The following is a 27578-nucleotide window of genomic DNA, read 5'->3' on the forward strand; positions in this document are numbered from 1 at the left end:
GTTGTTTATGTGGTTGCTTCGTAGTGTCATTGGTCTGTGTACTTCATTGTGTTTTTGTAGTAGCTGGGAAAGGTTTTTCCTTTCTGGGAATGGTTTTTCCTTTCCATGTTTAGTGCTTCCTTCAAGGGCTCTGGCAAAGCAGGCCTGGTGGTGATGAAATCCCTCAGCATATGCTTGTCTGAAAATGATTTTATTTCTCCTTCGCTTATGAACCTTAGTTTGGCCAGATATAAAATTCTGAGCTGGAAATTCTTTTAAGAATGTTAAATATTGGCCCCCAAACTCTTCTGGCTTGCAGGGTTTCCACTGAAAGGTCCACTGTTAGTCTGATAAGCTTCCCTTTGTAGATGATTAGGCCTTTCTCTCTGATTGCCCTTAACTTTTTTTTCCCTCATTTCAACCTTGGAGAATCTGATGATTTTGTGTCTTGGGGTAGATGTTCTTGGGGAGTATCTTAAGGGGTTCTCTGGAATGTCTTAATTTGAATGTTGGCCTTTCTCACTAGGTTGCAGAGGTTCTGGATGATACCCTGAAGTGTGTTTTACAACTTGATTCCACTCTCCCTAACTCTTTCAGGTTCTACAATCAGTTGTAACTATGGTTTTTTTTTACATAGTCCCATAGTTCTTGGAGTTTTATTCATTCTTTTTCATCCTCATTACTCTAATCTTATCTCCCTGCCTTATTTCAGCAAGATAGTCTTCAAGTTCTAATATTCTCTCTTCCACTTGGTTGATTCAGCTATTGATACTAGTGTTTGCATCATGAAGTTCTTGTGCTGTGTTTTTCAGCTCAATCAGGTCATTTATGCTCCTCTCTAAACCGGTTGTTCTAGTTAACGGCCCCTATATTTTATTATGGTTCTTAGCTTTTTTTTGCATTGGGTTAGAAAGTAACCCTTTAGCTCAGTGAATTCCTTATTACCCATTTTCTGAAGCCTACTTCTGTCAGTTTATCCATCTCAGTTTCAGCCCTGTTCTATGCCCTTGCTGGAGAAGTACTGAAATCATTTGGAGGGGAAGAGGCATTCTGGCATTTGGTATTTTCAACATTTTTGCACTGGATTTTCCTCATCTTCATGGATTTATCTGCCTTTGATCTTTGAGGCTGTTGACCTTTGGATAGGGTTTTTGTGGGGTCTTTTTTGTTGATGTTGTTGTTGTTGTTGATTTCTGTTTGTCTGTTTTTCTTCTAATGGTCAGGCCCCTCTTCTGCAGGTCTGCTGCAGTTTTCTTGTGGTTGATTCCAGATGCTGTTTATCTGGGGATCACCAGGCTGCAGAACAGCGAGGATTGCTGCCTGCTCCTTCCTCTAGAAGCTTTGTCCCAGCAGGGCACCAACTTGATGCCAGATGGAACTCTCCAGTATGAGGTGTCTGGCAACCGCTGTTGGGAGGTCTCACCCAGTCAGGAGGCACCCAGGTCAGGGACCCGCTTAAGGAAGCAGTCTGACTGTCCCTTAGCAGAGCTGGTGCACTGTGCTGGGGGAATCCCCCTCATCTGGATTGCCTGGACTCTTCAGAGCCAGCAAGCAGGAAAGATTAAGTTCACTGAACCCAAGACCACAGCCAGCCCTCTCCCTAGGTGCTCTGTCCCAGGGAGATAAGAGTTATGTCTCTATGCCCCTGGCTGGCATTGCTGGAATTCCCATAGGGAGGCCTTGCCTGGTGAGAGGGATGGATCTGGGTCCCACCTAAAGAAGCAGTCTGGCCATGACCTGTCACAGCCCCTGTGCTGTGATGTGCGGAATACCACCCAGTCGAAACTGACCATCATCCCTAGCACTGGATGGGGAGAACCACCAACTAGATCCACAGTAATGGCGGTTGCCCCTCCCGCCTGGGAACTTTGTTGTTTTAGGCAGACTCCAGGCTGCTGTGCTGGCCAGCGGAGATTCCAAGCCAGGGGTGTTAGTTTGCGGGGTTCTGTGGGAGTCAGCAAGGCTGTTGGCTCCCTGGCTTCAGCCCCTATTCCACTGGAGTGGATAGTTCTCCTGCCTCACTGGAGCTCCGGGTGCCACCAGAGTCTGTGAAAACTCCTGCAGCTTATGTAATGGATTACGTTTATTGATTTGCGTATGTTGATCCAGCCTTGCATCCCAGGGATGAAGCCCACTTGATCATGGTGGATAAGCTTTTTGATATGCTGCTGGATTCAGTTTGCCAGTATTTTATTGAGGATTTTTGCATCGATGTTCATCAGGAATATTGGTCTAAAATTCTCTTTTTTTGTTGTTGCGTCTCTGTCAGGCTTTGGTATCAGGATGATGCTGGCCTCATAAAATGAGTTAGGGAGGATTCCCTCTTTTTCTATTGATTGGAATAGTTTCAGAAGGAATGGTACCAGCCCCTCTTTGTACCTCTGGTAGAATTTGGCTGTGAATCCGTCTGGTCCTGGACTTTTTTTGGTTGATAGGCTATTAATTATTGCCTCAATTTCAGAGCCCGTTATTGGTCTATTCAGGAATTCAACTTCTTCCTGGTTTAGTCTTGGGAGGGTGTATGTGTCCAGGAATTTATCCATTTCTTCTAGATTTTCTAGCTTATTTGCATAGAGGTGTTTATAGTATTCTCTGATGGTAGTTTTTATCTCTGTGGGATCAGTGGTGATATCCCCTTTATCATTTTTTATTGTGTCTATTTGATTCTTCTCTCTTTTCTTCTTTATTAGCCTTGGTAGTGGTCTATCAATTTTGTTGATGTTTTCAAAAAACAAGCTCCTGGATTCATTGATTTTTTCAAGGGTTTTTTGTGTCTCTATCTCCTTCAGTTCTGCTCTGATCTTAGTTATTTCTTGCCTTCTGCTAGCTTTTGAATGTGTTTGCTCTTGCTTCTCTAGTTCTTTTAATTGTGATGTTAGGGTGTCCATTTTAGATCTTTCCTGCTTTCTCTTGTGGGCATTTAGTACTATAAATTTCCCTCTACACACTGCATTAAATGTGTCCCAGAGATTCTGGTATGTTGTGTCTTCATTCTCATTGGTTTCAAAGAACATCTTTATTTCTGCCTTCATTTCATTACGTACCCAGTAGTCATTCAAGAGCAGGTTGTTGGGCCGGGCGCGGTGGCTCACGCCTGTAATCCCAGCACTTTGGGAGGCCGAGGCGGGCGGATCACAAGGTCAGGAGATCGAGACCATCCCGGCTAAAACGGTGAAACCCCGTCTCTACTAAAAATACAAAAAAATTAGCCGGGCGTAGTGGCGGGCGCCTGTAGTCCCAGCTACTTGGGAGGCTGAGGCAGGAGAATGGCGTGAACCCCGGATGCGGAGCTTGCAGTGAGCCGAGATCCCGCCACTGCACTCCAGCCTGGGCGACAGAGCGAGACTCCGTCTCAAAAAAAAAAAAAAAAAAAAAAAGAGCAGGTTGTTCAGTTTCCATGTAGTTGAGCGGTTCTGAGTGAGTTTCTTAATCCTGAGTTCTAGTTTGATTGCACTGTGGTATGAGAGACAGTTTGTTATAATTTCTGTTCTTTTACATTTGCTGAGGAGTGCTTTACTTCCAACTGTGTGGTCAATTTTAGAATAAGTACGATGTGGTGCTGAGAAGAATGTATGTTCTGTTGATTTGGGGTGGAGAGTTCTGTAGATGTCTATTAGGTCCACTTGGTGCAGAGCTGAGTTCAATTCCTAGATATCCTTGTTAACATTCTGTCTTGTGGATCTGTCTAATGTTGACAGTGGGGCATTAAAGTCTCCCATTATTATTGTGTGGGAGTCTAAATCTCTTTGTAGGTCTGTAGGGACTTGCTTTATGAATCTGGTTGCTCCCGTATTGGGTGCATATATATTTAGGATAGTTACCTCTTCCTATTGAATTGATCTCTTTACTGTTATGTAATGGCCTTCTTTGTCTCTTCTGATCTTTGTTGGTTTAAAGTCTGTTTTATCAGAGACTAGGATTGCAACCCCTGCTTTTTTTTTGTTTTCCATTTGCTTGGTAGATCTTCCTTCATCCCTTTATTTTGAGCCTATGTGTGTCTCTGCAAGTGAGATGGGTCTCCTGAATACAGCACACTGATGAGTTTGACTCTTTATCCAATTTGCCAGCCTAGCCCATTTACATTTAAGGTTAATATTTTTATGTGTGAATTTGGTCCTGTCATTATGATGGTAGCTGGTTATTTTGCTTGTTAGTTGATATAGTTTCTTCCTGGCATCAATGGTCTTTACAATTTGGCATGTTTTTGGAGTGGCTGGTACTGTTTGTTCCTTTCCATCTTTAGTGCTTCCTTCAGGAGCTCTTCTAAGGCAGGCCTGGTGGTAACAAAATCTCTCAGCATTTGCTTGTCTGTAAAGGATTTTATTTCTCCTTCACTTATGAAGCTTAATTTGGCTGGGTATGAAATTATGAGTTGAAAATTCTTTTCTTTAAGAATGTTGAATATTGGCCCCCACTCTCTTCTGGCTTGTAGAGTTTCTGCTGAGAGATCCATCATATAAAAAGGACCAAAGACAAAAACCACGATTACCTCAATAGATGCAGAAAAGGCCTTTGACAAAATTCAACAGCTCTTCATGCTAAAAACTCTCAATAAATTAGGTATTGATGGGACGTATCTCAAAATAATAAGAGCTATTTACAACAAACCCACATCCAATACCATACTGAATGGGCAAAAACTGGAAGCATTCCCTTTGAAAACTGGCAAAGACAGGGATGCCCTGTCTCACCATTCCTAGTCAACATAGTGTTGGAAGTTCTGGCCAGGGCAGTCAGGCAGGAGAAAGAAATAAAGGGTATTCAATTAAGAAAAGAGGAAGTCAAATTGTCCTTGTTTGCAGATGACATGATTGTATATTTAGAAAACTCCATCGTCTCAGCCCAAAATCTCCATAAGCTGATAAGCAACTTCAGCAAAGTCTCCGGACACAAAATCAATGTGCAAAAATCACAAGCATTCTTATACAACAATAAAAGACGAGCAGAGAGCCAAATCATGAGTGAACTCCCATTCACAATTGCTTCAAAGAGAATAAAATACCTTGGAATCCAACTTACAAGGGATGTGAAGGACCTCTTCAAGGAGAACTACAAACCACTGCTCCATGAAATAAAAGAGGACACAAACAAATGGAAGAAAATTCCATGCTCATGGATAGGAAGAATCAATATCGTGAAAATGGCCATATTGCCCAAGGTAATTTACATATTCAATGCCATCCCCATCAAGCTACCAATGACTTTCTTCACAGAATTGGAAAAAACTACTTTAAAGTTCATATGGAACCAAAAAGGAGCCCGCATTGCCAAGTCAATCCTAAGCCAAAAGAAGGAAGCTGGAGGCATCACACTACCTGACTTCAAACTATACTACAAGGCTACAGTAACCAAAACAGCATGGTACTGCTACCAAAACAGAGATATAGACCAATGGAACAGAACAGAGCCCTCAGAAATAATACCACACATCTACAAACATCTGATTTTTTGACAAACCTGACCAAACCAAGAAATGGGGAAAGGATCCCCTATTTAGTAAATTTTACTTCGAAAACTGCCTAGCCATATGTAGAAAGCTGAAACTGGATCCCTTCCTTATGCCTTATACAAAAATTAATTCAAGATAGATTAAAGACTTACATGTTAGACCTAAAACCATAAAAACCCTAGAAGAAAACCTAGGCAATACCATTCAGGACATAGGCATGGGCAAGGACTTCATGTCTAAAACACCAGAAGCAATGGCAACAAAAGTGAAAATTGACAAATGGGATCTAATTAAACTAAAGAGCTTCTGCACTGCAAAAGAAACTACCATCAGAGTGAATAGGCAACCTACAGAATGGGAGAAAATTTTTGCAAACTACCCATCTGACAAAGGGCTAATATGCAGAATCTACAAAGAACTCAAACAAATTTACAAGAAAAAAAACAAACAACCCCATCAAAAAGTGGGTGAAGGATATGAAAAGACACTTCTCAAAAGAAGACATTTATGCAGCCAACAGACACATGAAAAAATGCTCATCATCACTGGCCATCAGAGAAATGCAAATCAAAACTACAATTAGATACCATCTCACACCTGTTAGCATAGCAATAATTAAGAAGTCAGGAAACAACAGATGCTGGAGAGGATGTGGAGAAATAGGAACACTTTTACACTGTTGGTGGGACTGTAAACTAGTTCAACCATTGTGGAAGTCAGTGTGGCGATTCTTCAAAGATCTAGAACTAGAAATACCATTTGATCCAGCCATCCCATTACTGGGTATATACCCAAAGGATTATAAATCATGCTGTTATAAAGACATATGCACACGTATGTTTATTGCGGCACTATTCACAATAGCAAAGACTTGGAACCAACCCAAATGTCCATCAATGATAGACTGGATTCAGAAAATGTGGCACATATACACCATGAAATACTATGCAGCCATAAAAAAGGATGAGTTCATGTCCTTTGTAGGGACATGGATGAAGCTGGAAACCATCATTCTGAGCAAACTGTCGCAAGGACAAAAAACCAAACACCATATGTTCTCACTCATAGGTAGGAATTGAACAACGAGAACACTTGGACACAGGAAGAGGAACATCACACACTAGGGCCTGTCGTGGGGTGGGGGGAGTGGGGAGGGATAGCATTAGGAGATATACCTAATGTAAATGACGAGTTAATGGCTGCAGCACACCAATATGGCATATGTATACATATGTAACAAACCTGCACATTGTGCACATGTACCCTAGAACTTAAAGTATAATTGTAGTAAAAAAGAAATTTAAAAAAAAAAAAAAAAAAAAAAACTCCTGCAGCTCAGCCCCTGCAGGAATAACCAGAACAGCTGTCATGGGTTTGCTCAATTTTGTGCTTGAGACCCAAGGCCCTGGTGGTGTAAACTTACAAGGAAATATCCTGATTCATGGATTGCAAAAATTCATGGGGAAAAATGCAGTACCCGGGCAGGGAGCCCAGTCCCGCACTGCCTCCATTGGCTGGGAGAGGGAGGTCCCTTTGCCCTGTGCAGCTCCCAGGTGAACTGTCACCCTACCCTGCTTTTCCTTGCTCTCTGTGTGTTTCGCCAACTGCCTAGTCAATCACAGTGACGTGAACTGGGTACCTTAGTTGGAAATGCAGAAATCACTTTGTTTATCATGTTTGTCTCACTGTGAGCTGCAGACCGGAGCTGTTTCTACTCTGCCATCTTGGCCTGTCCTCCGAGATCAACTTCTTTATAGGTCTTTGGTAGTTTTCTTTCATGCCTGGCTTGTTTCATTAAACCTAAAGTTCTTCAGGTTCATTCATGTAGCAGTAAATGCCAGAATTTTATTCTTTGTTTATGACTGAATAGGATTCTACTGTATATTTATACTACATTTTCTTTATCCATTCATCCACTGATAGCTATTTGAAGTAATGCATTTTTAATTAGCTAGATTTCACCAATTCACAATGTATATAATACTTCAGAACATCCTGTTGTATGTTATAAAAATATATAATGGAATTTGTCCGTTTATTTAAAATAAAATAAAAATTTCAGAAAGTCTAAGATCAAAAAGCTCAATATGTAAGTTTTTAAAACTTAAAAAATTATGCACAATACTTAAAAGACAAAAACTGGAAAAATATTCACAATATACTAAAATAGATAATTTTATTAAATGATAAACAAATAGGTCAATGTGTGAATGTCCAATTGAAAATTAATTTAAGTAGTAAACTTACAAGGAAAACAAGAGGTTCTCATATATGATGATATTCCATTTCACTTATAAGAGAGAAATACACATTAAAATTAAACTGAAATACTTTCAACCATTAGCATAGCCAAAGATCTAATTTTTTGGTAGCACATTAATTTGGGAATTAAGTTCTCTCATACATTACTGTATAGCACAGTCTACCCACATGCTTTACTGTTGGATGGTACAACATCCATGGAAAACAATGTGACACAATAAAAAAAAAACACATATTATAACATTCTACCTAGAAATATTTCTTGTTGTTTATTGGCTATGTAAATATTCACCTATGAATAAGTTACATAGATGAAAGACCTTCCAAAACATTTTTGAGAATTTGAGAACATGAAAGAGAACTGATAGAATTGATAGGAAGATTTAAAGTCAAAGAAAAAGAAAAGGTATTAGTACTTAGTCTGTCAATTTAAAGTGATTTAAGTGATGTCTAATATCACTTATAATAAAGAAAACATACAAAAATATAGGCAATTTCATAAGAAAAGTTTTTGTACCCACTGACCAGCTTTAACAAATCCATGTTATTGCATGTAACAACAGTTGCTTCTCCTTCATTGCTGTGTGACATTGTTATTTTGCTTTATCATATATTGTGTATGTATGTATTGTATATATTTGAGCGTGAAATAGCTGCAGGAAATATTGCCTTTAGTAGACACAGTTTTAGTAGATACTGACATTCACCATTACCAATATCTGTGACATTGTGTATATTTTTAACTGTGTCTTTGCTTCCTCCTCTGTAAAATGGGAGATAATAGTATTTACCTTATGAAGTTTCTATGAGGATTCGATGAGAAAGTATAGGTGAAAATATTTAGAGCTGTTTCTGGCACGTAGTAATTGTGTGTTATTTATTTAACATCATCCTCATCTTCTCTAAGATTGTTCTATAATTCTTTATATAACATAGAATTTTAAAATACACAAGAAAATGTTTTGACATATTCTCTCCTGATTATATCATTTTCAAAGAGGTATACTTTTATAGTATATTGTTTTATAATTATTCTATCCAGCAATGTAACATTTTGATTTATATTTGTTTTTAAATTTACATATAAAATTGTCTATATTTGTGGTGCATATGATATTTGGATGCACATATACATGTGGAATGGTTAAATAAAGCTAACTAACATATGTATTACCTTGCATACTTATTTTTTGTACTGAAAGTATTTATAATCTACTCTCTTAGCAATTTCCAAGTATACAATATATTGTTTGTAACTATAGTTAGCCTGTTGTACAATAAATCTCTTTATTTCTAACTTAATTTTTTGCATCTTTTAACCAATATATTTTTAAAACCTCACCCTTCAGCCTTACTAATTACCATTGCACTTTCCATCTATTTTTTGTTACAGTAGCCCATGGCTGTATCCTAATTAGCTATAAGAGGCCATGCATTTTATTAGGTCCTATGTTCATTTTCTCAGGCAATCCTTAGGGAATGCTAACTTATTTCAAAGATGCTGTCTCTGTTTTTACCTCCCACCTCAGCCAGGAGTTGTGCTTCACAACACAGGTCTACTCTTAGGCAAATCAACTACTTATATCCTGAAAGAACTATTTCAGGCTGCAGGGATTTTTCTCTAATTATAAATATGAGTTTTAGATTTATGTTCTATGACTTTTATAGATCCCTGAAATAGTATTTTGGAATGTGGTTACTTACTAGAAATATAAAAATTAGGTAACGATTTAATTATATTACTAATTATTTACCTTTTATTTTATTTTTGAGCACCTACTAGTGTGTGGCATTTTGCCACTTATTGAAGATGGTAAGATATATAAGTGCAGTTTCTGTTACAAGGGTCTTACCAGTCCCAAAATGTCATCCAGAAGCTCAAGCAAAATTAAATTTTTTCCAAATAATATATTTCTTCTCTAACACCTTATAAATACATTTGGCCTACTAAAATGCATATTCCATAATGACATAAGCAGAAAAATCTTCTTTCAGTCTGTTAACGAATCTTTCAGAATAGTGTTAAAAGGGAACAATATTGTGTTAGTCCATTTGCATTGACATAAATACCTGAGGTTGGGTAATTTATAAAGAAAAGAGGTTTAATTGGCTCATAGTTCTTCAGCCTGTGAAAGAAGCATGGTGCTGGCACCTGCTTCTGGTGAGGCCTCAGAAAGCTTCCAATCAGAAGATGAAGCACAGCAGACATGTCAAAAGGCAAGAGTGGGAGCAAGAGAGAGAAAAGGGGCTCTAAGACTCTTAAACAACCAGATTTCAGGTGAATTAACTGAACTGTATAAGAACTCACTCATCACCATGGAGATGGCTCTAAGCCACTCATGAAGGATTTGTCACAATGATCCAATATCTCCCACTCAGTCCTACTTCCAATGTTGGGGATAACATTTCAGCATGAGATTTGAAAGGGACAAACATCAAAACCATATTAAATATGTACCTCAATATTTACTTCAGTCATTTTTCTTTTGTTCTTAAATTTAAATCAGTAATAAGAAGACTAAGAAGTGAGGCAGTGAGCATGTATGGATCATGAAAGGAGGTGAGGTGGTATTTATGGGGTATACCAGGCCAGGCACGTGCCAGCAAGGAGTGATAGGACTTGTGAAAAACTGATGTCCTAAATTCAATAAAAATAAAACAAAACCTACTAGCAAAAACTCTGCAGGATAAAATTCACCTTACATGAAAGTATAAGGCGAAAGTGCTGAGTTTTATATCCAAACCTATTTGATGCCGAAGTCCATCCTTCTTAATCTCTTAGGGCCATTAATTGTAGTTCATTCCTAAACCAGTACCTTAGTGGACTACCTTGAATGTTTCTAAAACCCTCATCTGCCACACATTCTCCAGACTTTTCTTAGAATGGTCTTAAGCAAATGCTTATTACCATCAATAATCTTTTGAGTTTTGTTTTTCTCACAAATGTTTACTTTAATTCCATATTCTGAGTGTTCCTTCTTGTAAGTAATATATTAAGATTGTAGTAATGTTATAAAAAAAAAAAAAAAAAAAAAAGCTTAGGCTCGGAGCAGCGGCTCACCTCTGTAATCCCAGCTCTTTGGGAGGCAGAGGCAGGTGGATTACCTGATGTGAGGAGTTTGAGTCCAGCCTGGCCAACACGGTGAAACCCCTTCTCCCTAAAAAAAAAAAAAAAAAAAAAAAAAAAATAGCCTGTTGTGGTGGCAAGCACCTATAATCCAAGCTACTTGGGAGGCTGAGGCAGGACAATCACTTGAACTCAGGAGGTGGAGGTTGCAGTAAGCCAAGATCATGCTATTGCACTCCAGCCTGGGCGACAAGAGCGTAACTCCATCTCAAAAAAAAAAAAAAAAAAGCCTCTTGTCAGTTTGTCCCTCTCCCCTGCATGGACTTAAATATGTCTTTGTCTCTTTCCCTTATAATACTTCCTTAACCATAATGTTATGTCACTTGTGTTTCATGAATAATAAGAATAAGAAAAGTCAGAAAATGTATTGGTCAGATTCTAAGGCAGTCTATTTTAACAGAAAAAATAACAGAGCCCAGGATAATTAGATCCTTTCCAAAGTAACTTTAAATATTAGATAATAAGTTAATACATGAGTAAGTGAATGATTAAAAGAATCCAAAATCAGTCCTTCTTTTACTATTTAAGATACGTATATCACTGTCATTTTATCATACTGTATCATTTATTCTTCAAGTATAGAATGTTAATGTACTTGTGTGATGAGTTTTAACAAAAGTCATTTCATAAAGAAAATGCATGATTACATTTTTTCTATAAATACTGATTTGAAATATGAAATATGATATCTCCTTTTTTTAAATTTACTTTTTTTGTGCTGGTGTCAATAAAATGTAATCCAATCCAACCCAACCAATATTCTTACTCGGGAATTGGAGCCATAAAATATCATCTTATTAACTGGGTAAATAAAGCCTGTCTCTTTAGAGTATAACATTTCAAAGTGCTTCGGTGAATTGCAGGCTTTAAGACCACTTCCAGTAAGTCTCTTTGCTTAAGAAAGAAAAAAACATTGATTTTCTAATATATGTCGAGTATGCTGCTCAGAGTACAAAAACCAGTTAAAAAAGACAGTAGCTGTGAAAAGCTGAAGAGAACGTGGGTGAGAGAAAAAGCAATTTATTTTACCTAGGAAACTTTGGAAACTGATTTAAACAGAATAAATGGTATAAAGAAATCAGACATTTGTCCAAAATTCTAAATATAGAAAAAGGGGGTTGAAGTGTAAAAAGCCAAACTGCTTACAAATGTAAAAGTAGAGACTAGTTATCAAATACTTTTTGTTCAAATTGGTCAAAAGGAAGGGAGAAAAATATTTCTGCTTTTTAAACATTATAAATTTACAAATTTTCATTGGCAGTGAAGAAATACGATGTCTTTTCATACTTCCAGATTAACAATTACTTTACCTTTCTTTTTACTTAATTACTTCAACTATTTTTTTGTAATAAATTGACTTTTCTCTTGCCTAGGCAGTGACATGGTTATAAGCACTGGATTTAGGGTCAAGCAAGACTCAGTCTGAATATTTGTCTTATTATTTCTAGATATATAACAAGTAATTTTCTTGAGCTTTCTTTACTTTCAATAATACAGACATAATAATAGTTCCCATATAACAATTGCTTTAATAAAAAGACATATTCATGCAAATGCTTTATCACAGTGCCAGCAAATGGTAAGCATAGTAAACATTCAACATATGCCCACAAGGGTGAATATAATGAGGATGTTTATGAGTCACACTATAGCTGTCTCTCTCTATCCCCTTCCCCTGTGTATATATCTATCAAAAAAATAGTGACACAAGACAGAAGTATCAATACAGTGGATTCTCCATATTTCATATTTGTTGAGTTCTTCATCTGCGAATTCAACCCAACAGGGATTGAAAATATACCAGAAAAAGAGGAAAAAAGGAATAATTGAGTCTGTATCAAACATACATAGAGCTTTGTTCTTGTTATTACTCCCTAAACAATACAGTGTAACTACATACATTGCATTTACATTGCATTAGGTACCATAAGTAATCTAGAGATTATTTAAAGTATAAGGAAGGATTGTGCAGGTTATGTGCAAATACTAGACTTCTTAATATAGGGGACTAACAAGCAAAATGAGTGTTTGAGGCATAAATCTTAAATTGTAGAAGTTTATTGAGCCAGCTTGAGGGTGTGACCAAGAAAAACGTGTCACAGAAGCATCTGTGGCTGTTTTTCCCAAAGAAGTTTTCAGGAGATTAAGTATTTATACCTATTTCTTACAAGTACTGGGAGAGGCAGCAGTGACACAAAGGTTACATACTTGTGAGAGACTTTAATTAGTCCCCAGTAAATCTACATTTTATATAACATAAGGTGAACATTTGAAGAAAAAGGCAAAAGAGGAAGCGACTTCTCAGAGAGAAGTGAGGGAAAGATGAATTTCAACTTGTCTTTGTTCTGTATATGGGAAGATAAGCAAGTAGTCTTTTGAAAGGGCTGGTTTCTGTTTAGCCCATAGGGAAGAAAGCCTGAAGGTTTTTGGGGTAAAAGATGTATAATGAGGCATGTACCATCTTCTATCCCTTTAAGGCCTTGAATTCAGCTTCCAAGATGTCTCTTGGGTTCCCTTGGCCAAGGGAGGGTTCATTCAGTCAGTTGGGGACTTAGAATTTTATTTTTATTTCTCAGGACTTAAGCATCTGAGGATTTTGGTATTTGCAGGGGGGTCCTGGAACAACACCATGAATACTGAGGGGTGTGTGTGTGTCTGTGTGTGTGTGAGAGAGAGAGAGAGAGATTGCATGCAACATAGGCTAGAAAGCAACAACCCTATCACTTATTGAGCACTTACTCTGTGTGATTCTGAGAGATTTAAAATTTAAATAATTCAATAATATCAACACACTAATACTATTGTTAGTCTCTGTTTATAAATAGAGAAACTGAGACATAGGGCAGTTAATCAATAGGTCAAGTACGGGGGTTGCATTACATGCTATCTGGCTTCCAGCATTTGTGGTCCTAGATGTTATTCTTTATTGATTTTCATGGAAAAATTTGAACTTTGAACCCACAAAATGATATCAGAAGGAATAAGAAAAATGCTCTCTCTCTCTGGTTTTCAGCAGCTTCATCAGCATTCTTTTTACAAACATGGCAGACAAAGATTGTGCATCTCTAAATTAGTGTTTTGAAAAGAATTAGTAAATATTGTTAAAGAAATGTTGTGGCCACATGCTCTTGATTTTCCCTTTTAAAAAGGCATTCAGCAACCTACAATTGAGGAATAATTTCAGAACATAAAGAAGGACAATTGAGTTTCCCGGCTTTTATCCCAAATGGCTGCTTAAGAAACCTCTTTCTGTCACACTTGCCCAACTTTAAGCAATGGAAAATAAATTTTTATTATAGATAAAATAGAGGCTTTTAAATTACTTTTGATCATCTGAAGGGCTTATAGACATGATTAGAGAAATTAGAGAATTCCAAAAGGTATTTCTAATGCTTAAATTACAAGAATAAACCTTTCCTGAGGGTCATTTTCTGGACAATTCAACACTGTGCTTTTGTGAAGAGTTAAACTCTCCATGACTCTTATCCTTTAACTACTGAAATTTTAAGAGACTTGATTATCAAGCCAGTGTGATTTTTACTATTATATGCCTCACAAACAAATGTAAGCCTTTAAAGGATTTTAGATTTTTTCTACAATTAATAATATTTCAGATAACTTACCAATAAAGAATATTTCCACTTACGAAATATTTAAAATAGAAATAAAATATTTTAAGGCATTTGTTACATGATAAGCCATTTTTGTCATTGAATATTGTTTTGAATTTTTGAAATATTTACTTAACTTGTAAAGTGCCCTTTGTTTTCTGAACTTTTTATATATGCAGACTGAATGATTTTTTTTTTATATCAGAGGGTGCAATTTAAGAATTTGTAGCCTAAAATTTATGCGAATATCATTAACCAATCTCTTCCCATTACCCCCACCCTCAGCCTCTGGTATCCACTATTCTACTCTACTACTGTGAGATTCACTTTTTTAGATTCCATATTTGAGTGAGATCACGTGGTATTTGTGCTTCTTTGCTTGGCTTATTAACATAGTATGCCCTAGGTTCCTCATGTTGTTAGAAATGATATAATTTTCTTTTTTTATCGCTGAAAGTACTCTATAGTGTATATATACTACATTTTTAATAGATTCATGAGTTGATGGACACAAGTTGATTCTGTTAATTGCCTGTTGTGAATAGTGCTGCAATAAACATGGCAGTGTGGATTTCTCTTTGACGTACTGATTTCATTTTCTTTGGATATATACCCAGTAGTAGGATTGCAGGATCATATGGTAGTTATATTTTTTATTTTTTTGAAGAACCTCAATACTATAGATAATAATGGCTGTACTATACATTCCCACCAACATTGTGAGTTCTCCTTTCTATACATTCTCACCACCATTTGTTATTTTTTCTCTTTTTGATAATAGTCATTCCTAGCTAGAGTGTGGTGATAGCTCATTTTGGTTTTGATTTGCATTTTCTTGATGATTATGGATAAATAGGAGAAAAATTCTGTCATTCTAGTGCACAAAAGATGACTACAGTCTCTAGTGCACAAAAGATGACTACAATCAACAATATTGTATTGTATAATTCAAAATAGCTGAAGAGAGGATTTTTAGTGTTCTCATCACCAAGAAATCACAAGTGTTTTAGGTGCTGAATATGCTAATGACCAATTCAATTATTATAAAACATATATATGTATTGAAAATTCACATTGTACCCCATAAAAAGGTACAGTTGTTACATACCAATTAAAAACAAAATAAAACTTAAAAAACTAATAAAAATAATGACACTAGTGTACCAGTTTTATCACCTAAATGCCGCAGGAATAAATAGATCATTTACTAAGATTACTGGGCTTTTTGTTGGCTTCTTTGTTCATTTTTAATCTGCAAATATAAAAGATTGTGTTACATAATTCTTTAGGTTGAAACATGAAATGATGAAAGAAGACTTCAACTTCCAGGAGAGATTTATTAGCTAGTGGATACTCAGTGCTCCCACCAAAACCACTAGAAAAAAATGTATTTAAAACAAATAAATCAACTAGTTCAAGGAAATAGAGAGCTGAAAAGGCAAAGAGACCTTGACGAAGTAAGACTCCAGATAAGGCAACACTTAGTGAGGTGAACTGACTTTTAAAGACTTTATCCTTGGATGCATTTCATAATTCTGGGCATGTTTTAGGCAGAATAACAGTATTTAAATCCTGTAAAAAGGAATTCAGTTTGCAGATGCAAATAAGGTTGGTAATCAACTGGCCTGAGATAGGGTGGGCACAATCTTTTCACCTGAGTCTTAAAAGCAGACAGCCTATCTTAGATATAGTCACAAGGGACGGGAAAATGCAAGGAGAGTCAAAAAAGGTGCGATGTTGCTGGTTCTGAAGATGCAGGACAGTACAACAAGTTAAGGAATTCAAGTGGCTTCTCGAAGCTGGAAAAATCTTGGAATTGGATTATCCCCTATATTCTCCAAAAGGAAATTCAGCCCTGAGACAGCTTGAGTTTAGCCTAGTGAGATCAATGTTGCATTTCATCCTGCAGAATCAGAAGATAATGCACATGTGTTGTTTTGAGCTGCAAATTTGTGTAATTTGTTATGGTATCAATGGAAAATTAATGCATTGCACAAGCAAGAGTGAGGAAATTCACATTGTGCCATGGGGGCTGTTGCTGTGTAACAGACTAGCAGAAATGTTGACAGAGACTGGGCCTGTGTCAAGCATATGTTTGTTTAGTCCTCAGAGAATGGAGGAAATTGGACACCAAATATTTTATCAAAAAGTTTTTGAAAAACAAAGAGCAACAGCACTCTTGCCAGAAAAGGAAATAAATGAGTTTTTCAGTTGACAAGCCTGAAGGATAAGGGGTGAAGCTGAGGTAGACCCAGCCTTACCTGGACTGACACCCAGGCTCAAAACAGTGCAGTCCCTATGTGCACTGAGATAAACTGCTGGCACTTCATCTCTCTTCTCCTCTCAAATCAATTACATGAATGTTAGAGATTTCAACTTTATTATTTCCTGTATTTTTAAATTACCTTTTTTCCCTGCAGTTATGTTTATATATTGTCTCTTAACCTGCCTTCCAATTTTCTAATCATGCTTTCTTCTCTTTCAGTTCTGCTAAAATGTCTATCTAATGATGTTACTTTCAGGCATTATATTTTACTTTCTAAATGTAAACACGTGGGATTCTTCTATACATTTCAATTTTCAGTGAGATACTCCATGTTCTTATCTATTTTATTCACCTTATCTTGTGTTTTATGTATTATATTGTTAAGAATTATTTAAAGTTCTATGTCAGTTATCTCTGTTATCTGAATAACAGTGTTTCTGCTTTCATGGGCTATGTTCTCTCCTCTAGATTCTTTAACATGTGGTTTTGCCTTCTGGCATGTCTATTGAAAAATGAGACTCCAGATAATGTTTTCTTCCTTCAGAAAGGGGACGATTTACCCTTCCTTCTGCTAGAATGGGAGAGATAAATTACAGGTAGGAAGGCATAAGAGCATCAAAAAGCTAAATATTAGATAAATATAATAAATGTTGGGCAAACATTAACTGTATAAAACAATAATAGTAATGAGTAATAGGGTTTAAAATATAAGTCTAACTGAAATTCATGAATAGAATAATGTAGAAAAAGAGAGGGAAATAAATGACTTTAAAATATAAACCTTTTGCAATATCAAGGAAATCATAACAGCAATATTTTGTAATAGATTGAAATAAGTCAAGGTTACATTTTTGATCTCTAGAGTACTTAGTAGAAAACAGAAAGAATGCTTCATTAACAAGTAATAGAGAAAAAATGGGCTAACAAAACAATATTGAAGTAATACAAATAAAGATCAGAAAAAAGGAACATAGAAGTATTTCATATAGAAAACAAATAGGAATATATATATATAATCAGATAGTTCAATAATTATGTTAAACATAAATGAGCTAAATAATCCAGTGGAAAGACTAAATTTTTCAGACTCAGTAAATGATGACAAACAGATATTTGGGCCTTCAACCATGGCATATTAATAGATTCACCATTTTATCTACTTCTCTATATGTATATGTGCTCATAAATTGCAAATCATTATAGTTCTTGGAGAACATTTACACAGTATATTTCTCACATGCAATTATGTATTTTCTATGATTATATTTAATTGATTTTTTTCACACTATTATTTATAAATTGCAGCAATTATTGTCTAATAAGAAAATGAGATATGTATGACCTAACAAAACTGGGTTCAGTATAAGGTAATTTATACTTAAAGATGTAAAGTAATTACCAATTTCTTAGACAATAGTGATGTGCCAAAACTTAAAGATTTCATTTTTTAAAAATATATCATCCATTTATTGACAATCACTTAAAAACACTGTTCAGCTGATAATGATGAAATTGTTCTATATTTGCTCAATCAAATACATAGCAGCAAGATTCTATTTGTTTTGAACTGTGCACCAATTGCTTTTAGCCACTATCAGGAACTTGCCTATAGAGATTATTACTGTGATGCTCTAAGCATGGACATTTTTTTATTTTACTAATTTCTTCTACATTTGGTAATTGGAATTATTCTGCAAAAAAGAGTTGCCCCTTCTCCTCATTCATAATGCATCAGAATGAGTTAAAAATACTCATTTCACTTATTAAGCTATGATCCAATATTATGATTCATAATGCATCAGAATGAATTTAAAATACTCATTTCACTCATTAAGCTATAATCCAATATTATGATTATTTACTTTGCTACACAAATTGTTCTAGGATTGACCATTTAGAACTTCAGATGTCACAGGATCCTTGGGGTGTTGCTTCATCAGCCAGAAACTTCTATGGCTGGTGGCACCTTCTGCCTGAGTATTGCTTGCACCCACTGGGCTCATTCCACCCACTCAGCCTGGAAGGTTGCACTTGGCAGGTGCTACCAGCCCAGATATCACACCTGCCAAGGGCGAGCCAGCTGTGGAGTGGTGAGGGGTGTGTGGGTGAGCACACACAGGGCCTGGCCACTGCACAAAACCAGGCATCCTGGCTGCTGCAGTAGGGAGGGCAGCCCCAGTTTCCAGCACAGGTGCCAAGTTTGTGCAAGGCTGCAGCTGAACCAGATGTACCGCATGCTACTTCTGCTGCAGGAACCCACATCTGGCTGAGGGGAATGCAGTGGCCGAAAGCTTTCAAATGCCAGAAGCCACCGGCCCCAAAGAGGGTGTCACAGCCCTGGCTTGGGGAGCCCCTTGGTCTGGACTCCCAGAAGGGCTGCAGCTCTTCTCTCCTCCTTGTCCACAACATTATGAAGGGGAGTGGGAGCAGGGGTGCGTATTTCATCTCTATGTATGTTATAGCTCTTTCAGTTCTGACGTTTGGCGGATCCAAGTTCTTGTCATGTGTCCAGGAAAAATGAGGTACTTAGACAACTGGAGGGTGAGCAGAGTGAAGAGGTGCTTTATTGAGCAAAAGTACAGCTTTCAGGAGACCCGAGCCTAGTAGCTCCTTTCTATAGGCAAGTAGCCCTGACGAGTGAGCTCTTAGCTGAGAAGAGACCCATTGTGGATAGCTCCTGTCCACATACAGGTTGTCCCAATGTCTCTGTGTGTCTGGCTGAGTCCAGGGTTTTTATGGTCTTCTGAAAGGAGGAAATGAATGCTAATTGGTCCATGGGCAGCCATGGATGGGCCTAGAAAAAGCACCATAAGTTCTCACTCTGGGCTGCAGTCTCCACCGGGAACTGACAGACTAGCCCCCATGCTTCAGGCTGTCCCTGGCTTGATGGTGGATCTTTACCAGGGACCCGCCCATTTCCACCCAGGAGCCTGTCTGCCTCCTGCCACCATCAATCATGTCATCCACAGCATCCAAGCTGTTTGTGCTGAAAGGCACCTTCAGGCCCACACCAAGCAGCCCTCAGTGCCACTTTGGCCTCCCTCCCATGCTTGTTGGAATCCAAAGTCTGAAGGGGGTCAAGGCAGCAGGGGGCTGGCCTGTTAGTGCTGCCCTGAGCACATACACGCCCAGCCACGTGGTGACAGAGCCCAGGCTTGTCCTCAAATTTGCTACAAAATCAGAGAGGGCACCATGAGTGGAGAGAAGCCAGGCAGCAGCAGCAGGTTCTGCCATCACAGATAATTTCCTGTGTACTTTTGACATGCCTGCATTCTTTTTCTTTTTTGAGAAATTCCTTGTTTTTTGGCAGTACCAGATGATCTAGATTTATCTTGACTTATCTCTACCCCTGCCCTAGAAGTAAGGACTTTTCAGGGAACTCTTATGTTTCTTTTACAGAAGAATATTTAGAAACCAAGATCTGGGCACCGGGTATACCAATTGCTATAATCATGATACTTCTAGACTTTCTTAACACACAGGCCTAGAAAATTAGAATTTTTCATGTACATATACACACACATACAGACATATATAATATGTACATATGTGTGTGTGTTTGCATGTGTGTATGATTATATTGGTGCCTCCCACTTGAATCCAGAGCTAGCCTTCCCCTTTCTTATTTATATTTATTTATTGAGACAATGTCTCACTCTGTTGTTCAGGCTGGAGTGCAGTGGCATTCCTTTCCTTATTTATAATTTCACAACTTTCTTCTGTTATGCAGAAAGACCTAGGTCTCCTTACCTGCAATAATATATGTATATGTTTGTTCAGTCATGTTACACATATAAATTAGTTTTAAAATTACTAATCCTCACTTCTGGAAAACAAATTTAACTTTTTAAGTATAGTGCTTAGGTACATGTCTTTTTGTCCTTAGCCTTCAGAATCTTGTACAAACATTTGTGAAGTTACTTTGGTCAGCTCTTTTCTTCCCAAGGCCCATAAGGGTGGTATGTGGCTTATTTGTAATACATATAGATTTATTTGTCTCTTTCTCCACTCAATGTTCAGTACTACAACATCTTGATTGCTTAAAAAGAATTGTGTCAATTAAAATTTACTCTTTGTGGTGTAAAGATATATGTGTTTTGAAAAATGCATAAAGCCATACATCTACCTCTACAATTACAGAACTTTATATTTGCTTCACAGCAAGTTTTCCTCATGTTGATACTTTGTAGTCAGTTCCTGCCTCTACATTCCAAACACTGACAATTAAGGATCTCTTTATACATCCCTTTATTTTTTACCTGTTCCAGAACATCACATAAAGAAAGTAAATACAATTTTGTATTCTATTTGAGAGTTCGAGGTCTAAGTTCTTTCAAACAAATTATTTTTAATGTTCATTCATGTGTGAATTAACAGTTTGTTCTTCAGGTATTGCTGATTAGTATTCTATTGAATTGATTTACTACAATTGTTAGTCCATTAACTAGTTGAAGGACATCTGTGTTTTTCACAGTTTTCAGTGATTAAGAATAAAGATGTCATAAACATTTGTGTCAAAGTCTTCTTATGAACACATTTTTATTTCCCAGGGGTAGATATCTAGTAGGCATGAAATTGCTGGGTCATGTGGTAGTTGTGTTTACCTTTCTCAGAGATTGTCTAACTGTTTTGTAAAACAGCTGATCCATTTTGCATTCTCACCAAGTAAAAGAGTATTGAGTCACTCAAGAATATGCTGGCCATGATAATTACTCTGGATTTTATTTTAAGTGAAATGGAGAGGCAACAATGCTTTGAAGCATGAGATTACGATGATATGATTTATATTTTGAAATGATCACTTTAGTTTTATATTAAGGGGTCAAGAGTAAAAATCTTAGTAAACTTTTCTAGAAATACAGTAAAAAGATTATGCCATACACCCAAACTCACAGAAACACACAGTCTGTCTTACACATACACACACACATACACACAAATGCACATTATCTTGTTTCAAAAATGATTCCTGGGTCTTCAAATAACGTAAAAATAGTAATTATAACTGAATGATATATTTATATTTTACAAATGTGCAGTATTATACTGTTAGGGATATGTCAAATACCTATCTATATTTATATACACACATATATCTGTGTATGTATATATATATTTCTGTGTGTATATGTATACACACACACACCACCCACATGGACCACAGAGCAGCAGTCCCCAACCCCTGGGCCACTGACCCATGCAGGCCCATTGGCCTGTTAGGAAACTGGGCCGCACAACCAGAGACGAGCAGCGGGCAACTGAAAATTACCAACTGAGCTCTGCCTCTGTTCAGATCAGTAGCAGCATTAGATTCTCACAGGAATGAGAACCCTGCTGTAAACTCCACATGTGAAGGATCTATGCTCTCCTTCTGGGAATCTAATGCCTGATGAACTGAGATGGAGCAGTTTAATCTGGAAACCAGCCCTACCCCTACATCTATGGGAAAATTGTGTTTTAAAACACCAATCCCTGGTGCCAAAAAGGTTTGGGACCACTGCCTTAGAGGGTTTTTAAAAATTATTATTACAGTAATACATATGAATATCAGAGACAAGAGAGCATATATTTTAAAATCTAGAATAGTAATGCCATTTAAATTCACAAAATTAAATATATATATTTAATGCTCCCAGTGAAATCATATTAATAAATATTATACAGATATGTGCACAAAATAATTATCTAAATTATATTTTAATGATTATTGTTGTCTTATGTACTTGGTTAAACTTGCAATATTGATGAAACATTTGATTCCAGATAACTAAACCACAGAGTTAAAACTAAGCAGATTTTTTTTAATTCCTTCCAAAAAATATTGGCAGGCCTCTTAAATGATAGTCAACAGCATGCTTGCTATTTTATATTCTATTCATGGATTTCTATTTTATGTATTCCATACAAAAAATAGTGGCTATTAGACACATGCCATCATATATTTGAAGATGAAGAACAAGTTACCTGTAATATAATTTCAGTTCCTGATACATTTGTAGAAACTTAAATTTTCTATTTTTCCCCAAAGATAGGTCATTTATTTATTATTTTGTTGTTTATGGCTGCTTACCAGAGTCGTGACCTACTGACTGAATCATTCTTTTATTGAGACAGAATCTGATTCTGTCTCCCAGGCTGGAGTCCAATGGCACAAACACAGATCACTGCAGCCTCGACCTCCCCAGCCTAAGCTATCCTCGCACCTAAGGAAGGGAGGCTAAAATGCCTGGCTAATTTTAATTTTTTTTTTTTTTTGTAGAGACAAGGTGTTTCCAGGTCACCCAGGCTGGTCTTCAACTCATGGGCTCAAGTGATCCTCCAGCCTCGGCCTCCCAAAATGCTGGCATTACAGGCATAAGCTACTACACAGACCAGATTTTCAAACTTTCTGTTTTATGTATGTATTTTGAAAGAAAATCATATGTAACGTATGTTTGAGCAGGTAAATCAAAACAGCTTTAAGGTTCACCAATATTGACTAATATGCAAACATTTATTAATCTCATCGTTTATTCTAATCGGTTTAAAAAATCTATTTTATGTTCTTTTCTCAATGCATCTTCTAATTTAAAGTAATCTCTATTGTCCTGTTTTCTAATGTTATATATTTAGCTATTATAACTACCCTGTAATATGTGGGTAGAGTGAAGTAAAGAAAAGTGGAAAATTCAGTTTAAGTATTTTTGCAAATATAGATTTTTTCCTTTTTGGCACAGGTAGGACTACTGACTGCAACCCAAATTTCTCTTCTTCTTCTCCTTAAATTTTTATTTATTTAATTAGTCTAAGGTTTTGTTTTGTCTGTGTGGGTGAGAACAAAAGAAAATCCTGAAAAAGAGAAACGTAGGTTGGGCATGGTGGCTCATGCCTGTAATCCCAGCACTTTGGGAAGCTGAGGTGGGTGGATTTCTCGAGCCCAGGAGTTCAAGACCAGCCTCAGCAAGATGGCAAAACCCCATCTCTACCAAAAAAGAAAAAAAAAAGAAAAAAGAAAAAAAAACTATGTTATCTAGGCATGGTGGCACACACCTATAGTCCAAGCTACTTGGTAGGCTGAGGTGGGAGGATCACTTGAACCCAGAAGGTCGAGGCTGCAGTGAGCCATGTTTGTGCCACTGAACTCTGCTTGGGTTACAAAGTTAGATCCTGTCTCAAAAAACAAAACAAAATAAAAAGACAAGAAAAGAAAAAGAGAAATGCAATAAGATAAATATTATATGTAATATTTAAATAAAATTTACATTCCTATAAGGTTGATTTGAGTGCTTCTAATTAATAATTTTATATATTTTTAAAAATACAAAACATCAATAAATAACGTTTAGTGATATTACAAAACAACCTTCACAACAATTCAACTTCTGTGTACTGATACACAAGATAGATAGCATCTTGAAAATGACTGACAAGTTATTTTTCCTGTGTCCTCCAACCATGAATCTGTCATGTTTATTCTTGTGCAAAACAAGTGACAGCAGAAGAGAATAAATTAAATGGCCTTTAAAAAAAAAAACACATATGACAGACACCATATGGCTTTTCTCCCCATAACTGTGTTGAATATATTTAGAAAAGACTATCAAAAGAAGAAGTAAAGTGAAAATTATTTCAGAAATGGTATTACATTTTAAACAATTGTACAACAACTGTCATTTAACATTTGGTGACCCAATATAATCTAGAGCAATAAATTATAAACCCGATATACATTAATGATAAAGAAGTGTTGGTTAATAAATTTGCATTAAGAAAAATTTACATATATTAAAAAATGGAGAGACAGAAAATATAAACCCTAGTACACCCAATGCCTAAGTTAAAAAAGTTTTTCAACTCATGAACAATCATCTATCTTCCTATCCTCCCCCAAATCTAAATTATTTTGAGTCAAGTCCAATAATTCATACCTTTATATTTTAAAAAGGTCTAGTACGTTTCCCCAAAATATAAATATTATTTTTGAAGTATGAGAATATCACTATTCTATATAAAATCAATAATGTACACTTAATGTAATTTAAGATGCTATAAAATAGAAGAAGAGGAAATACACTGAATTTATCTTAACAAAGTTGATATTATCTTGATACTGGAGGAGACAAACACATTTAGAAAATGAACCCCAATATTTCTCATGAATATATGCACAGAAGTTCTTAATAAATTATGGAATTTCTACTATCACCAAGTGGTGTTTATTCTAGTGATGCAATGCTGGTTTAAGTTGAAAACCAATCAATACAGTCCACTATATTATTAGACCACAGAAAAACATATGACGATTTCAACTGAAACAGAAAAATTCTTTGATAGAATTCAACACCTATTCAGAATAAACTCCTCAGGGAAAAAAGATAGAAATAGAGTGGAACTTAATTTGATAAGAAAGTATCTATGAAAAAACTACAGCTGGCATTATATTTAATGGTGAAAAGACTGAATGCATTACTCAAAATTGGAAACACGGCAAATGTATCTGTTCTCACTGCTCTTATTCAACTTAGTGCTTGTAGTTCTAGCCAGTAAAAATAAAATAAGAAAATAAAATAAAAGACATACAGATTTGAAAGAAAAAAAATCTGTTCTTATTATCAGATGACATGTTTGTCTATGTAGAAAATCCTAAAGAATCTAACAAAAAATTAATCTACAACTAATAAGTTTGCAAATGTTTCAAGATACAATAGGAATATAAACAAACCAATTTCATTTCTATATATTAGCAATGAACACATGTACACTTAAAAACACTGTATAAATAACAGCAAAAATTAAGTACTTAGATACAAATCTAACAAGTTATCTATTCATATATAGTATCACCTATATACAGAATACTACAAATTGTTGAAAGAAATACAAGATCTGAATAAAACAGACATTCTATGTTCATGGATTCAAAGATTCAATAGGGTTAAGACGTCGATTCTTCCAAATATGTTCTATAATGTTTGTGAAATCCTAACAAAAATAGGCAAAACACTATATATATTGACAACTTAATCCTAAAATTTCTATGAAAAAGTGAAATACACAATAGCCCACAAAGTAATGAACAAAAGAACAAAGTTGGAGGACTCACACTGCCCAATTTCAAGAGTTGCTGTATGGCTACATAAATTATGACAGCATGGTATTGGTAAATGAATGAAAGACACCTAGATCAGTGAATAGAACAGAAAGTCCAGCCAGGCGCAGTGGCTCATGCCTGTAATCCCAGCACTTTGGGAGGCTGAGGCAGGCAGATCACGAGGTCAGGAGATCAAGACCATTCTGGCCAACATGGTGAAACCCCGTCTGTACTAAAAATACAAAAAATTGGCTGGGCATGGTGGTGCATGCCTGTAGTCTCAGGTACTCGGGAGGCTGAGGCAGGAGAATGGCGTGAACCCGGGAGGCAGAGCTTCAGTGAGCCGAGATCGCACCACTGCACTCCAGCCTGGGAGATAGAAACTCCAGAAATAGACCAACATGAATATAGTCAATTGATCTTTGAAAAAACAGAAAAGGTAATTCAATGGACAAAATGTATCTTTTCAACAAATGATGCTGGAACTGGATATTCACATAAAAAATAAATAAACTTAGACTTTATAACTTTCATAAAATTAACTCAAAATGGATCACGGATCTAAATTCAAAAAAAGTAGGAGAATGTCTGTGTGTCCTTGAGTTTGGTGATGAGGCTTTAGGTAAAATCCCCAAACCATGATTCATGAAAGAAAAAAATTGATGAAGTGAACATTATTAACATTAAATGCTCTTGCTCTGTCTTTAGGAGATATAAAAACTCACATTCACACAAATACCTGTACACATATTCACACGGCTGTATTCATGATAGCAAAAATCAGAAACAACTCAAATGTCCTCAGAGTTAACGGTTAAACAGATTATGTACATGAATAACAACAAATGAACAAATTACAGACAAAAGCAACCACCTAACTAAATTTGCAGAGAATTATTCTGAATGAAATAAGGCAATCTAAAAGATCATAGGTTGTGTAACTGCATTTATATAACATTCTTGAAATGACACAGTTATATAAATGAAGAACATATTAATGTATGCCAGGTGCTAGGGAATAAGTGGGAGAGGGAGGAAAGTGAGTGTGGCCACAAAAGGACTACTTGAGATAACTTGGAGGTGATGAAAATATTTTTTCTTGACAATGTTAATATGTTACTGTGAACTTGAACTATAGTTTTGCAACATATTACCAGTGGAAAAACTGGGTAAACGGAGCACTGTATCCCTTTTAATAATTTCTTATAACTGCATGCAGATTTATTATCTCAAAATACAAAGCTTAATTAAAAATGATAACACTTAATTCCTGAAATATCTAGTACTGCTCAAATTCACTCCATGTCCTCCTAAACCTCTTAAAATTTATTTATTCAAATTAGGATTGAAACAGACTTTACAAATCACAATTGGTTGCTATGACTCTTGAATCTCTATCCCTGTGTCTTCACAATTTATTTATTGAATTATTCTCAATCACTTGTTCTTCAATTTCACAATCTGGATTTTACCAATTGACTATCTGTGTTTTACTGTAACATATACTGTCATTCCTTACATTTCTTGCAATTTACTGGCTATATCTGCTTTCTTATTATGACTCATGTTAAAAATATTTTTGGCCAGATGCGGTGGCTCATGTCTGTAATCCCGGCATTTCGGGAGGCAGAGGTGGGCGGATCATGAGGTTAGGAGATCGAGACCATCCTGGCTAACACGGTGAAATCCTCTCTCTACTAAAAATACAAAAAATTAGCTGGGCGTGGTGGAGGGCGCCTGCAGTCCCAGCTACTCGGGAGGCTGAGGCAGGAGAATGGCGTGAACCTGGGAGGTGGAGCTTGCAGTGAGCCGAG

General features: G+C 36.3%; 1 annotated feature.

The window, feature by feature from the left end:
• Window positions 18460-19329: an enhancer, noted in NCBI's record as "H3K27ac-H3K4me1 hESC enhancer chr14:43828358-43829227 (GRCh37/hg19 assembly coordinates)". NCBI's record gives its function as "activates a minimal SCP1, AML or CMV promoter by ChIP-STARR-seq in naive H9 embryonic stem cells {active_cell/tissue: H9 hESC(naive)}" and the evidence as "EXISTENCE:reporter gene assay evidence [ECO:0000049][PMID:30033119]".

This window comes from Homo sapiens, chromosome 14 (assembly GCF_000001405.40).
Source record: "Homo sapiens chromosome 14, GRCh38.p14 Primary Assembly".
NCBI lineage: Eukaryota > Metazoa > Chordata > Mammalia > Primates > Hominidae > Homo > Homo sapiens.